Source organism: Homo sapiens, chromosome 4 (genome assembly GCF_000001405.40).
Source record: "Homo sapiens chromosome 4, GRCh38.p14 Primary Assembly".
Classification (NCBI taxonomy): domain Eukaryota; kingdom Metazoa; phylum Chordata; class Mammalia; order Primates; family Hominidae; genus Homo; species Homo sapiens.
Genome location: NC_000004.12, coordinates 39,638,473 through 39,654,013, shown reverse-complemented (window position 1 = coordinate 39,654,013; position 15,541 = coordinate 39,638,473). Strand labels below are relative to the sequence as shown.

The 15,541-nt window shown below is 45.4% G+C and overlaps 1 protein-coding gene and 1 long non-coding RNA gene across 15 annotated transcripts in view, besides 2 other annotated features; one reads left to right on the top strand and one right to left on the bottom strand.

The window, feature by feature from the left end:
* The window catches only part of SMIM14-DT (SMIM14 divergent transcript), a 27,525-nt gene extending 12,651 nt beyond the window's left edge, over positions 1-14,874 (bottom strand). For 2 of the 11 annotated variants that reach the window (NR_183845.1, NR_183842.1), the window contains exons 1-4: positions 14,720-14,874; positions 12,222-12,320; positions 3,560-3,637; positions 549-2,748 (exon numbers count right to left, since the gene is read on the bottom strand). This is a non-coding gene — a long non-coding RNA (SMIM14 divergent transcript). Of the gene's footprint in view, positions 1-482; positions 2,749-3,498; positions 3,638-12,221; positions 12,325-14,719 lie in introns of those variants that run through there. The other 9 variants (NR_183843.1, NR_183847.1, NR_183848.1 and 6 more) reach the window with 9 other exon arrangements.
* Positions 12,123-12,718: an enhancer, noted in NCBI's record as "OCT4-NANOG hESC enhancer chr4:39642916-39643511 (GRCh37/hg19 assembly coordinates)". NCBI's record gives its function as "activates a minimal SCP1, AML or CMV promoter by ChIP-STARR-seq in naive H9 embryonic stem cells {active_cell/tissue: H9 hESC(naive)}" and the evidence as "EXISTENCE:reporter gene assay evidence [ECO:0000049][PMID:30033119]".
* Positions 14,490-15,207: an enhancer, noted in NCBI's record as "NANOG-H3K27ac-H3K4me1 hESC enhancer chr4:39640427-39641144 (GRCh37/hg19 assembly coordinates)". NCBI's record gives its function as "activates a minimal SCP1, AML or CMV promoter by ChIP-STARR-seq in primed H9 embryonic stem cells {active_cell/tissue: H9 hESC(primed)}" and the evidence as "EXISTENCE:reporter gene assay evidence [ECO:0000049][PMID:30033119]".
* Positions 15,149-15,541, top strand: part of SMIM14 (small integral membrane protein 14) — a 92,530-nt gene continuing 92,137 nt past the window's right edge. For 3 of the 4 annotated variants that reach the window (NM_174921.3, XM_047449746.1, NM_001317896.2), the window contains exon 1: positions 15,149-15,275. Coding sequence is in view for 1 of the 4 variants with exons in the window: in XM_047449743.1 (XP_047305699.1) it covers positions 15,508-15,541 (34 nt within the window). In the remaining 3 variants the exon portion in view is untranslated. The other variant, XM_047449743.1, reaches the window with a different exon arrangement.

Genomic DNA, 15,541 nt, shown 5'->3' with positions numbered 1-15,541 from the left:
TTCCCTTCAGCAACAATTTCACCTTTCTTTCCTTAATCATTAATTTTAATCTGAACATTTTCCCCTAAGTAGGTCCCTCTGGCTCAGCCACTGGACTAGTCCATATGTCTGGTAGTAAGATGAGATACACACTGACTTCCCTTCTAGTCCATTATTAATCATAGAAGGCAAATTGGATAAGTGGAGAAAATGCAGCTATCCTCTCCACTAGGCAACAAAACATTTGCACAGTTAGCTCCAACTCTGCAAGACTGGGGAAGGAATAATCTGTCTCATCAAGCCCTTTAGGATTTTTGCAGTTAGGTTCAAATGAATACATATGGTACATTGTTTTAGAATACTATCAAACCTCTGGGACCCTTAATTACAGACCCAGTCCAGTGACTACTGAGTTAGCATTGAAAAATAAACTTGTAGTAAACTAGGAAAGTCTTGTATTCAAGTTCCTGTATCATCCCGGTCAAAGGACAAATTACAACAAATGCAAAGATCTCAACTGACTTTATTGCAGTTCTAGAATTGGGCAGGCTGAGTGTGGTGGCTCATACCTGTAATCCCAGCACTTTGAGAGGCTGAGGTGGGACAATCTGTTGAGTTCATGAGTTCCAGACCAGCATAGGAAACATGGCAAAACCCCATCTCTACAAAAAACACAAAAGTTAACCAGGCGTGGTGGTGAGCACCTGTGGTCCTAGCTACTCAGGAGGCTGGGGTGAGAGAATTGCTTGAGCCTCGGAGGTGGAGGTTGCAGTGAGCCAAGATGGCACCACTGCACTCCAGTCTGGGTGACAGAGCCAGAATTTGTCTCAAAAAAAAAAAAAGGCTGGACATGTTGGTTCACATCTGTAATCCCAGCACTTTGGGAGACCAAGGTGGGTGGATGGCTTGAGACCAGGAGTTTGAGACCAAACCAGCCTGGGCAACATGGCAAAACCCCATCTCTACAAAAAATACAAAAATTAGCTGGATGTGGTGGCACACGCCTGTGGCCCCAGCTACTCGGGAGGCTGAGGTGGGAAGATGGCTTGAGCCTTGGAGGTGGAGGTTGGAGTGTTCCAAGATCGTGCCACTGCATTCCCGCCTGAGCAACGGTGCACGACCCTGTCTCAAAAAAAGCCAGAATTGGGTAACACTTCATTCCATAAAATAGAATAAGTGGGCCAGGTGTGGTGGCCTGGGCATGGTGGCCCCGGCACACTTATTCTATCCCAGCACTTTGGCAGGCCAAGGAAGAAGGATCCCTTGAGGCCAGGAGTTTGAGACCAGTCTGGCCCACATAGCAAGACCCTGTCTCTACAAAAAAAAAAATTTTAAAAATTAGCTGGGTATAGTGGTGCAAGCCTGTAGTCCTGGCTGCCAGGGAAGTTGAGGCAGGAAGATTGCTTGAGTTGAGGAGGGTGAAGGTGCAGTGGGCCAAGACTGCATTAGTACTCTCCACTCTCCAGCCCGGGTGACAGAGTGAGACATTGTCTCAAAAAATAAAAATACAAATAAAAATAAGTGTTGCAGTGAGCTGTGCAAAAGAAGCTGGCTTTACAGACAGAGAAGGGCTGAAGAAAGCAGAAGCAAAAAACGAATAATGTTATTAGTCCTTTCAAAGTCACTTTTCTTGTAAAGTGGGGACAGAAAGACAAAATGATAGAAAAATAACTGATGAGTGGCCAGGCGCGGTGGCTCACACCTGTAATCCCAGCACTTTGGGAGGCCGAGGGGGGTGGATCACAAGGTCAGGAGATCGAGACCATCCTGGCTAACACGGTGAAACCCCATCTCTACTAAGAATACAAAAATTAGCCGGGTGTGGTGGCAGGCACCTGTAGTCCCAGCTACTCGGGAGGCTGAGGCAGGAGAATGGCGTGAACCCGGGAGGCGGAGATTGCAGTGAGCCGAGATTGTGCCACTGCACTCCAGCCTGGGTGACAGAGCAAGACATTGTCTCAAAAAAAAATAAATAAATAAAAATAAAACTGATGAGTTAATATCAGGTTATTTAAGGCTACTTTTTCGTGTGTAAGGATTAAATCAGAGGGAACTTCCTTATCATGCTTACAGGAAGATTTAAACTGGCCTGTTTGGGAAACTGGCAGTTATCTATCTCTTCTCATTTCCAGAAGGTCAGATAACAACTTAGTTTAGGTTTGGTGACTTATAGGTATGAACCACTGTGTGGACCATTTGAGTTTTTGTTGTTCCAGCTGCAGAGAGACCATTTGCTCTTTGACACAGATGGTGGTATAGAAACATTTAAAACATTTTGACTGGGCGTGGTGGCTCATGCCTGTAATCCCAGCAGGCTCCCTGCCTTGGGAGGCCAAGGCAGACAGATCACTTGAGGTCAGGAGTTCGAGATCAGCCTGGCCAACATGGCAAAACCCTGTCTTTACTAAAAATACAAAAATTAGCCGGGTATGGTGGCGGGCACCTGTAATCCCAGCTACTCGGGAGGCTGAGGCAGGAGAATCGCCTGGGGGGCAGAGGCTGCAGCGAGCAGAGATCGCACCACTGCACTCCACCCTGGGCGACACAGCAAGACTCCATCTCAAAATAAATAAATAAATAAATAAATAAACACATAAATAAAATAATAATAAAAATACAAAACTTAGCCGGGTATTGTGGCACACGTCTGTAATCACAGCTCTTTGGGAGGCTGAGGCAGAAGAATTGCTTGAACCCAGGAGGCAGAGGTTGCAGTGAGCTGAGATCACACCACTGCACCCCAGCCTGGGTGACAGAGCAAGACGCCATCTGAGAAAAAAAAAAAAAAGAAGTTAAAAAGTCACAAAGCTATCATCTTTTTCAAAAACAATCTTTCTTTAACACCAGTAAATACCTGGTCAGTGTTCATATTTCCTCAACTTCCTCAAAAATTTTTTAGCAGTTGGTTTATTTATACCCTCTTACAAATTTTTGACTATTTTTGTCTTTCCCCAACTTTTAGATCTATTTAGTCTTATCATATTTTCTTTCAATTTTAAAACAACTTCTAAAAACCTCTAAACTGGCTGGGCACAGTGGCTCACACCTGTAATCCTAGCTCTTTGGGAGGCTGAGGCTGGTGGATCACTTGAGGTCAGGAGTTAGAGACCAGCCTGACCAACATGGTAAAACCCTGTCTCTACTAAAAATACAAAAATTAACTGGGCATGGTGGCATGCGCCTGTAACCCCAGTTACTTGGGAGGCTGAGGCAGGAGAATTGCTTGAACGTGGGAGGCAGAGGTTGCAGTGAGCCAAGATCACACCACTGCACTCCAGCCTGGGTGACAGAGTGAGACTCCATCGCAAACAAAACCCAAAAAAAACAAAAAACAAACAAACAAAAATCCCACCTCTAAATCATACAAAATTATCTTCCCTTTAACAAAAACCACACTTTCATGTCTTCATAAGCAAGTATCAAAAATATCATAGAAGCAACAGTTTTATGGCATTAAAACATCTAGCAGTGACAGCATAAACCTACCTAAACAATAGAGCCAGGCAAAAAATACCTGAATTAAAATTTGAATATGTTTTTATTTTATTTTACCAACAATTTAAAAACTATATTTACTGACTTTGGGAGGCCGAAGTGGGAGGATCACTTGAGCCCAGGAGTTTGAGACCAGCCGAGGCAACATAGCGAGAGTTCATATCTATAAAAAAGTAAATAAATAAAAATGTTTTTAAAATAAAGAGAATACAAAACAATGTTTATTTACCAGAGATTGCTAAAATCACACTTGAAAAGCATTTGGGCTTATTTGCTTAATTAACGAGGACTTCTTTATTTATAAGCCCATTTGGTACCATAGACAATATACAAACAGATATACACATAAAGATACAGACAGTTGTGTCCTGCATGAGGGGAAAAAAAAAAGGATACAAACAGATGCAAACGAAGACTCTACAGCCTTGATTTCAAAACTCTAGCCATGAGACTGGCAAAACTCACTAGTCCAAAAGGACAGTTGGATTCAAACTATGCCCCTGCAAATATAACAAGTCAAAGTTCACTTGTCCCACACAGCCCAAGTCCTCAATGAGCCCCAGAGAAATCAGAATAGCAATCCACATCTCTTCTTTTTATTATTATTATTATTTTGTAAAGACAAGGTCTCACTCTGTTGCCCAGTCTGGTCTTGAATTCCTGGCCTCAAGTGATCCTTCTACCTCAGCCTCCCAAAATGCTGGATTTATAGGCATGAGCCATCATGCCCAGCCACAATCCACATCTCAAAGCAGAGAGAGAGAAAGAATCCAAGTGTCTTCAAGAAGGAGTCTGGCTGTGCTAGTGGAAGACTAAGAAAGGACACCAAGGCAACACAAATCACAGAAATTCACCACAGGACTCTACAAGGAGACCAACTTCATTTAGATAAATAGCTTTTAATTTAGCCTGTTTCTCCAACTGGACCACTGAGCTCCAGACAGAGCCCATTAAGGAACAGGGCCAATTAAGTACTTGCAGCTTTTAGGGCCCAACTATCCAAATATGTGAAAAATAGTCAAAGTTGGAAGGCAGAACATCCAGGCCTTTAAAAATCAAGGACTTTATACTGAATCCCAAGTCCCCCAAAAGAGGGAAATGCCACGACACTAGGCTGCACAGTGCCTTCACAGCACACCTGCCATGAAGAGCGCTCTTCTTAAACAAATGCACAAGGAAAGGAGCAGCCCCCTGTGGCAATGACCATCTGCCACAAACAGTGGTTGTCAGCCACCTCTAAAACTGCACAGTCTCATCAGCAACAGCAACCTCCAGCTCTCCCAAAGGACCAGCTCCGAGTACAAGAAATGTCCGCAGAATTTCCCCAGGGCAGCTCCACAGCCACTCTAAAGGTCCAGGTGGACAAGCCTCACCAAGATTCAACTGCAGCCATGGCTGACATCCATAGCAGCGCCTCTTGATATGCCCAGGGTGCCCACAAAAGAAGCAGGCACCCTCTTCACCCAGAGCCAAAGAACCAGTTGGCACCTGAGGAGACTGGAGGCCCACTGAAACTGCTGCAACAGCAGTGCCACCAGGCGGGCTCCACACTCCTGGTGCTCCCCCTCCATGGTTCCTGCCAAGCAGCCAGCCAAACCAGCAACCTGACAAGGGGTTCCTGTGGCCCAGTTAGGGCCATGTTGCCTGAGGGTACAGCTTTATGTAATCCTGAGTGATAGAGATCTGGACATCCATGTTAAATTATAAACTAAATTCCTACCATGGGTAGCTTGGCTTTTGCCCAGGAATGAGCAAAGATAGCCAGCAAGGATAGCAACAAGATGGAGTCAACCATGTTAGACTTCTCTGTCATAATCTTTGCAAAGGCAGTTTCACTAAGGTTACTGAGTGTTTAAAAATTATAATATATGTAAATAAAACTACTAGAAATAGGGCTGGATGTAGTGGCTTATGCCAGTAATCCCAGCACTTTGGGAAGCTGAGGTAGGAGAATCACTTGAGACCAAGAGTTCAAGACTAGTCTGAGCAACACAGTGAGACCTCATCCCTACAAAATTTGTTTTAGTTAGCTGGGCATAGTGGCACATGCCTGTAGTCCTAGCTACTTGGAAAGCTGAGGCAGGAGGATCATTTGAGCCCAGGAGTTCAAGGTTATAGTGAGCTATGATTGCGCCACTGCACTCCAGCCCGGGTGACAGAGCAAGACTGTCCCAAATAAAACAAACTAAAAATGAGGAAAACAATAATGCACACAAAATATACAAGAAAAGTAAGACGTTGTTTTTAAATTTTTATTTATTTTTTTAGAGATGGGGATCTTGCTATGTAGTCCAGGTTGGTCTCAAACTCCTGTGCTCAAGCCATCCTCCCACATCACCCTCCCAAGTAGCTTGGACTACAGGTGCATGACACCATGCCTGGTGTAAGATATGTCTTTTTTTTTTTGAGATGAAGTCTCAGAAAAAAAAAACAACAACAACAAAAAACCCCTCCAGAGTCTCACTCCATCACCTAGTCTGGAGTGCAGTGGTGCGATCTTGGCTCACTGAAACCTCCACCTCCTGGATTCAAGCGATTCTCCTGCTTCTGCCTCCCGAGTAACTGGGACTACAGGCATGTGCCACCACACCCGGCTAATTTTTGTATTTTTAGTGGAGATGGGGTTTCACCAGGTTGCTCAGGCTGGTCTCGAACACCTGACCTCAAGTGATCCACCCACCTCGGCCTCCCAAAGTGCTGGGATTACAGGCGTGAGCCACTGCGCCCAGCCCCCATCAGCTTTTTATGTAAGTGGTTTGCAGTCATTGATAACCATTGTCTGGATCCATTATTTCATTAGGGGTTGCAAAATGATGACATTCAAACTCTGTCATTTCTTCTTTATTTTTAAGCTGGAATTACTTTCCTTTACCAACTATTTATTCTGGGGTGTAGTTAATACAGGAAAGTCAGGACAAATACTTGATTGTTTACATGTATTTAAATTTCAGAATGGGTTTGTTCCCTGGTCCCTCACAAAGGCAACCAAAAAAGTTTTTGAAATGTTTTAATATTAGGAACACACAGAGTTTAATATATAAGATATGTTGCAATCCAAAAAAATTATTTTGTCTGCTTTTTTTTTTTAAACCTGAAAAATCTCATGTCTTTTTTTTTTTTTTTTTTTTTTTAAACAGGGCCTCACTCTGTCGCCCAAGCTGGAGTGCAGTGGTGTGATAATAGCTCACTGCAGGCCAGGCGCAGTGGCTTGTGCCTGTAATCCCAGCACTTTGGGAGGCCGAGGCGGGCAGATGACCTGAGGTCGGGAGTTCGAGACCAGCCTGACCAACATGGAGAAACCCCGTCTCCACTAAAAATACAAAATTAGCTGGGCATGGTGGCGCATGCCTGTAATCCCAGCTACTAGGGAGGCTGAGGCAGAAGAATCACTTGAACCCAGGAGGCGGAGGCTGCGGTGAGCCGAGATTGCGCCATTGCACTCCAGCCTGGGCAACAAAGAGCGAAACCCCGTCCCAAAAAAAAAAAAAAAAAACAGCTCACTGCAGCCTTCAACTCCTGGGTTCAAGCAATACTCCCACCTCAGCCTCCGAAAGTGCTGGGACTACAGGAGCACACCATCACACCTGGCTAATTTTTGTATTCTTTGGTAGAGATGGAGTCTCACTATGTTGCCCAGGCTAGTCTTGAACTTCTGGACTGAAGCAATTCTTCTGCCTCAGCCTCCCAAAGTGTTGAGATTACAGGCGTGAGCCACCAAGCCTGGCCAAAAGTTATTCTGCTTTTTGATTCTCAAATTGACATATCATTGGTCAATGTGAGACGCTTCAAGTTGGACCTTATGTCCTTTTAACATGATCTTGATAGCTTTGATAGCTTCATGGTATAACAAAATGTTTTGGGCCCATGTGGAACATTTCCTTCCCTAAGCTTGCAAGGAGTTCAGTGGGAAATCATCTTCAGAGACCATAATCAGGGTGATTGGGGTGCTTATCACCACTGAGTTGATGACTGTTTCCAAGCTTGTTCAGTGGTCTACAAACGACTGTTTAGGTTCAGGTCCATTAATGTGTAATGGAGGGAAAGTCTGAGCAATAAGATTTAGTTTAAATAAAAGAGGTAGAAATTAGGGATCTGGAGCTGGGCAAGGTGGTTTATGCCTGTAATCCCAGCACTTTGTGGGGCTGAGGAGGGAGGATTGCTTGAGCCTACGAATTCGAGACCAGTCTGGGCAACATAGTGAGGCCCTGTCTCTCTTATATAAAAATAAAAAATAAAATAAAATAAGGAAATTAGGGATATGGCTATAAAAGGCAAAAATTTAAAGATTATGTTATCTTTCTTTCTTTTTTTTTTTTTGAGATGGACTCTCACTGTCACCAGGCTGGAGTGCAGTGGTGTGATCTCTGCTCACTGCAACCTCCGCCTCCTGGGTTCAAGCGATTCTCTTGCTTCAGCCTCCCGAGTAGCTGGGACTATAGATGCCCGTCACCACACCTAGCTAATTTTTGTATTTTCAGTAGAGACGAGTTTCACCATGTTGGCCAGGATGGTCTCCCTCTCTTGACCTTGTGATCTGCCTGCCTCGGCCTCCCAAAGTGCTGGGATTACAGGCGTGAGCCACCGCGCCTGGCCCTTCAATTTCTATTATAAAAAAGCTTGAAAATTATTCTATTACTGGTTTAGTTTAATTTTATTACTTTCTAAAAGGTTGATAAACAATATTGTCTATTACTATACAGCAAAAAAAATGAATGTATAAAATCTTGTGGCCGGGTGCAGTGGCTCATGCCTGTAGTCCCAGCACTTTGGGGGGCCAAGATGAGCAGATAACCTGAGGTCAGGAGTTTGAGTCCAGCCTGAACAACATAATAAGATTCCATCTCTAAACAACAACAACAAAAATCCTTTAGGTCTGAGATAAAACATCAGTCTCATATACTCTTTGGAACAGACGGGATTAATTTTAAGAATGATAACCAATACCTTAGAATATTACTATTAAAAACACAATAATTCTTAATATGCTAAGTTCCAACTATAGTTCAGCAACTGAAATATTTTTAAAATTCCAAGGGGAGGGTGGGAGGAGGGAGAGGATCAGAAAAGATAACTATTGGGTACCAGACTTAATATCTGGGTGATGAGCCAGGCGTGGTGGCTCACGCCTGTAATCCCAGCATTTTGGGAGGCTGAGGCAGGCGGATCACCTGAGGTCAGGAGTTCGAGACCAGCCTGGTGAAACCCTGTCTCTACTAAAAATACAAAAAAAATTAGCCAGGCATGGTGGCGCACACCTGTAATCCCAGCTACCTGGTTGGCTAAGGCAGGAGAATTGCTTGAACCCAGGAAGCATAGGTTGCAGTAAGCCAAGATCGCACCACTGCACTCCAGCCTGTGTGACAGAGTGAGACTCCATCTCAAAAAAAAAAACCAAAACCAAAACAAACAAAAAAACCTGGGTGATTAAATAATATGTACAATAAACCTCTGTAACATGTGTTTCCTATGTAACAAACCTTCACATGTACTCCCAAACTTTAAAGTTTAAAAAAAAAAACTGGCCTGGCGCGGTGGCTCATGCCTGTAATCCCAGCACTTTGGGAGGCCGAGATGGGCGGATCACGAGGTCAGGAGATCAGACCATCCTGGACAACATGGTGAAACCCTGCCTCTACTAAAAATACAAAAAATTAGCTGGGTGTGGTGGCGCACGCCTGTAGTCCCAGCTACTTGGGAGGCTGAGGCAGCAGAATCGCTTGAACCTGGCAGGTGGAGGTTGCAGTGAGCTGAGATTGAGCCACTGCACTCCAGCCTGGTGATAGAGTGAGACCCTGTCTCAAAAAAAATAAAAAAACCAAACCAAAACAAAAAAAATCCAAAACATGATAAAATGAAGATGTATCTCATTACCGATTTTCACTTGCCTTCTTTAGCATTTATCCATCTGCAAAATATGTATATATATAATGTATATATATATATAGTGTATATATATACACACACACACATACATATATATATATACATTTTTTTTTTTTTGAGACAGCGTCTTGCTGTGTCGCCCAGGCTGGAGTGCAGTGGTGCAATCTCAGCTCACCATTCTGCCTCACGGGTTCAAGTAATTCTCCTGCCTCAGCCTACCGAGTAGCTGGGATTACAGGCATGTGCCACCACGCTTGGCTAATTTTGTATTTTTAGTAGAGATGGGGTTTCTCCATGTTGGTAAGGCTGGTCTCGAACTCCCGACCTCAGGTGATCCACCTACCTTGGCCTCCCAAAGTGCTGGGATTACAGGCATGAGCCACCGCACCCGCCTGCAAAATATTTTTTACCCAGATGTAGTCATAGTGTGCAAGTTGTATCATTTTTCCCCTTAACAATATGTCCATAACATTTCTCCATATGCTGTAGGGTATTTGTAATTTCAAATTATTTAATGATTTTTTTTTTTTAAGGAGACAGAGTTTTGCTATGTTGCCCAGGTTGGAGTGCAGTGGCTAGTCATTGGTGTGATCCTACTACTAATCCACCAAAAAAAATTTAGAACTAATAAATTCAGCCAAGTTGCAGGCTACAAAAGCAATACTCAAAAATCGCCTGCATTTCTACATACTAACAATGAACACTCTGAAAAGGAAATTAAGAAAGTGACCAGGTGATGTGGCTCAATGCCTGTAATCCCACACTTTGGGAGGTGGACGTGGGCGGATTACTTGAGGCCAGGAGTTCAAGACCTTGGTGTTCAAGCCCATAGTGAAACCCTGTCTCCACTAAAATTACAAAAATTAGCCGGGGTGGTGGTGCGCACCTGTAGTCCCAGGTACTCAGGAGGCTGAGGCATGAGAATTGATTGAACCTGGGAGGTAGAGGTTGCAGTGAGCTGAGATAGTGTCATAGCACTCCAGCCTGGGTGACAGAGCGAGACTCTGTCTCAAAAACAAAAAACAAGCAATTCCATTTATAATATCATCAAAAAGAATAAAATAGGCTGGGTGTGGTGGTTCATGCCTATAATCCCAGCACTTTGAGAGGCCAAGGCGGTGGGATCACTTGAGCCCAGGAGTTTGAGACCAGTCTAGGCAACATAGTGAGACCCTAGCTCTATTTTCAAATATGAAAAAAAGAAAAATTTTTTGAGATAAAGTCTGGCTCTATCGCCCAGGCTGGAATACAGTGGCGCAATCTTGACTCACTGCAACCTCTACCTCCTGGACTCAAGCCATCCCCTCCCACCTCAGCCTCCTGAGTAGCTGGGACTATAGGCACCACCACAATGTCTGGTTAATTTTTTTTTTTTTTTTTGTAGAGACAAGGTTTCACCATGTTGTCCAGGCCTGGTGCAGTAGTTTGCACTTCCCTTGAGGCTAGGAGTTGGAGACCAGCCTGGCCAACATAGTGAGACTCCTGTCTATTAAAAGAAAAAAAAAGGCTGGGTGGCACATGCCAGTAGTCCCAGCTACTCAGGACGCTGAGGTAGGAGGATTGCTTAAGACCAGGAGTTCAAGGTTGCAATGCACTGTGGTCACATCTGTGAATAGCCACTGCACTCCAGCCTGGGTGACAGAGCAAGACCCCATCTCTAAAATAAGTAAATAAATAAATATATTTCCTTAATGTAGTAGCCAAAAAAGAAAATCATTTTAATTTGCATTTTTTGATTACTAGTGAGATGGAAGATTTTCAAATGTCAAACATTTGTATTTCCTTTGTGTGTGTGAACCATCAGTTCATACTTTATACCTATGCATGTGTGGCAGGCATTAATTTTCCCTATTGATTTGTATGAGCCCTTCATATATTATGGTATTTCTCCTTTAACTATCAGTATTTGTTCCAAATTCTCCAATTGGTGTTTCTTTTTTAATTCTGTGTCCATTCAACAAATATTTATTCAATGTTTACTATGCTCTCGGTTGTATGGTAGGAATTCTATGTTATTCTTTACACATAGAATTACACACTTTTTAGTTCTTCCATTGTTTAGTTTAGAAAAACTGCACTTAGGGGCCGGGCACAGTGGCTCACGCCTGTAATCCCAGCACTTTGGGAGGCCAAGGCAGGCGGATCACCTGAGATCAAGAGTTCGAGACCAGCGTGGCCAACACGGTGAAACCCCATCTCTACTAAAAATACAAAAATTAGCCAGGTGTGGTGGTATGCACCTGTAATCCCGGCTACTAGGGAGGCTGAGGCAGGAAATCGTTTGAATCCAGGAGGCGGAGGTTGCAGTGAGCCAAGATTGCACCACTGCACTCCAGCCTGGGCAACAGAGCAAGACTCAAAAAAAAAAAAAACAGCCTGGCGCAGTGGCTCATGCCTGCAATCCAAGCACTTTGTGGGGCCGAGGCGGGTGGATCACCTGAGGTCAGGAGTTTGAGACCAGCCTCAACATGGAGAAACCCTGTCCCTACTAAAAAATACAAAATTAGCCGGGCGTGGTGGTACATGCCTGTAATCCCAGCTACTGGGGAGGCTGAGGCAGGAGAATTGCTTGAACCTGGGAGGCGGAGGTTGTGGTGAGCTGAGATCACACCATTGCACTCCAGCCTGGGCAACAAGAGCAAAACTCCGACTCAAAAACAAAAACAAAAACAAACAACAAAAAAGGGAGAAAAAACTGCTCTTAAAGATCAGAACAAAAAAGCATATAATATCCCATATCAGTGTCTGTGGGTAAGAGCTAGCCTATTCTAGCTCTCAAAAACTTGCAATCAAATGTTGGGCAGGGATGCAGTCATCTGAATGCTTGATTAGGGCTGCAGGATCAATCAAGTTAGTTCACTCACATGGCTGGCAAGTTGGTGCTGGCTGTTGGTGGAGGCTTTTTCTCCTCTCCACATAGGCCTCTTCATAGAGCTGTTCGAGCACAGTGGTGTGGAGACTGCCTTCCTCCAGGGCAAGCAATCAAAGAGAATGAGAGGGAAAGCTGCAATCAGTGTCTTTGTGACCTAACCTCAGAAGTCACACACATTCAATTGTATTCTATTGGTAAAACATAGTAGTCCTGATTCAAAGGGTTGATGCAGACCACCAGCGGTGACAATCACTGGGGGTCCTCTTAGAGGCTGGCTACCAAGGATCCCAACATCTTTTTTGTTTGTTTGTTTCTGAGACAAGGTATTGCTATGTTGCCCAGGTTGGAGTGCAGTGGCTATTCAAAGCCTCTAACTCCTGGGTTCAGGCAATTCTCCTGTCTCTGCCTCCTGAGTAGCTGGGACTACAGGCATACAGCACCTCGCCAGGCTAATCCTAACATCTTGGTTTTCCTGTAATTTACTTTATAAAGCAAGTACTGGGTGTGCACAGTGACCCATGCCTGTAACCCCAACACTTTGGGAGGCTGAAACAGGAGGATCACTTCAGACCAGGAGTTCAAGACCAGTCTCAACAATATAGCAAGATCCTATAACAAATTAAAAAAAAAAGTAGCTCACTGTGGTGGCATGTGTCTGTAGTCTTAGTTATTCAGGAGGCTAAAATGGGAGGATCACTTCAGCCCAGGAGTTTGAGGCTGTAGTGAGCTATGATTGCACCACTGCATTCCAGCCTGTGCAACAGAGCAAGACCCTATCTCAAAAAAAAAAAAAAAAAGGCCAGGCGCGGTGGCTCACGCCTGTAATCCCAGCACTTTGGGAGGCCGAGACGGGCGGATCACGAGGTCAGGAGCTTGAGACCATCCTGGCTAACATGGTGAAACCCCGTCTCTACTAAAAATACAAAAAATTAGCCAGGCGTGGTGGCGGCGGGTGCCTGTAGTCCCAGCTACTCGGGAGGCTGAGGTAGGAGAATGGCGTGAACCCAGGAGGCGGAGCTTGCAGTGAGCCGAGATCGAGCCACTGCACTCCAGCCTGGGCAACAGAGCAAGACTCCATCTCAAAAACAAACAAAAACAACAACAACAAAAACAACAACAACAAAACCAAGTACTGAGAATTTTGCAACAACCAGTACAATTCTAGTTTTGTACCATACTGTTCTCTTAAACACAGCTGTGTTCTCAAACACATACGTGCCCATGGGTGCACTCAAGCATAACAGATTTTGTTTGGAGTTGCACAAATTAAAGACCCTTTGGTACAGTGTCAGCTCATTAGGGCACCAGATTCCATCTCAAACTCTGAATTTGAGTAAGCAGAGTTCAAGGTTGCAGATTAAGGGCCAAAATCTTTATTCTTTGTATCTACTTTGCAATTAGTTAACTGGGAAACACTTCAAGTTTTACCAGAAACCTTTAATTTTCTAGAAACCTTTACCTGTGTTCAATATCCACTTTAATTAAAAAGCTCTTGTAAATGATACTTATTTGGGGAAGGTGATTCAGCTTGTCGAGGGGTAATTAACCAAATTGCTGAGGTGGAAGTCTGGGTAAGTGAAAAGGTCATCAAATCTGAGTAAGAAAGCTTGCAGCTTTCACCTCTCCGTCAAGACTGGCAGAGAGGCACTTTCGTAAAATCTTTGTTTGGGATTCACTTTTACTTCGCCACTTGTCCCATTTTAATTAAAGCTTGCCAACTGAAGGACCTAAGAAAACAATATAGTTCTGCATTTTGCCAAATTGGGAAATTTCCAGGGCCCCCAAAATTTAGCGGGGAGACTCAGAGACTAGAATGGGAGAATAGGAAGCACCAACTTGCTCTAAAAGGAAGATTGGGTAAAAGCAGCACTCTTATTCCAGCTCTACAACCAAAGCAACTAAGACTTGGGCTGGCTGGCTGCCTAGCCACAGCATTCCCTCCTACTTCCCCATTATCTCCTGACCAGCAAGTCATCTTTGGTCACATATCTTTAATTATTTAGTTTGAGACAAAGTCTCACTATCACCCAGGCTGGAGTGCAGTGGCGCGATCTCGGCTCACTGCAACCTCCGCCTCCCGGGTTCAAGCGATTCTTCCACCTCAGCCTCCCGAGTAGCTGGGACTACAAGCGGGCACCACCATGCCCGGCTAATTTTTGTGTTTTTAGTGGAGATGGGGTTTCACCATGTCGGCCAGGCTGGTCTCGGACTCCTGACCTCAAGTGATCCGCCCACCTCTGCCTCCTGAAGTGCTGGGATTACAGGCATGAGTCACCAAGCCCGACTACATATTCCTTTTATTAATATTCCTGTTGAACTTAATTTTGGTCGTTTCCGGTGCAAAAATGTTAAGGTAAAGGGAATCAATAACAGCCACATTTGATGTATTTTTGTAATCCCCATCTCCAATTTCCATCCGGGCCTGAGTAACCAAAAACACTTTACAGGGGTAGACTGTCTCAACAGACATCAATTTGTAACCGCGTCTACCTCTACCACGGTATTCTAAAGACTCCGTCGAGGAAAACCTTTAGCTCGGGCAACGGGAGACACATTACAGAACACTGTCCGCCGCCGAAGAAACAGACGATACGCGGGAGAGTTGAACAGACACCCGGCCTCGCCCCGATTGCTTCACAGTCCTCAGCCACGCCCCTCCCAACCGGAACTACATCCCCCGCACTCCGCGCCCCCACGCACAGCGTGTCGTAGGCGTCCGAAGCCGCAGGCTCCCGCCCGGCTTCCCGGGACGCACAGGGCAGGCGCTGGGCATGCGCATGCTCGGCAGGCGGGGCAGCTGGAGTCTCCAGGCGCTGCAATCTGTTGCGCCGCCGCCCGCGGGAGCCGGCAGATCCGGGTCTTGTGGCTAAGAGTGACGTGGTCACTCGAATCAAAACAGAGGAGGGGGAGGAAGCCGGCGGCCAGAAACGGCAGTGGCAGCAGCGTCCGGAGCAGCCGCAGCCTTCTGGAAGCTCCAGGCGGTCTTTCTGCCGAGCCTCGGTCCCGGCCCCCATCCTCCCCGCCCCATCGGTTGTTGTCTGGGCGGGTGAGTGTCTCCCCCTCTCCCACCAGCGTTTGCTGGCTCACCCTCCCCTCGCCCCAGTTTTTCCTGGGGGCTCCTCAGGCTCTCGGGGACTGCGGCGGCTGCGGCAGAACAGGGCTGTTTCTCGGGCTTGGCGTTTCCTCGGCCGGGCTGGCGATTCTGCACCGGGAGAAGCTCCGCTGCTGCCGAGCCCGCGTCCCCCGCGAAGAGCCTGCAATTGGGTATTCTCTGCAGGATGTCAGAGTCGGGGCTTTGCAGGCAAGGGCAAG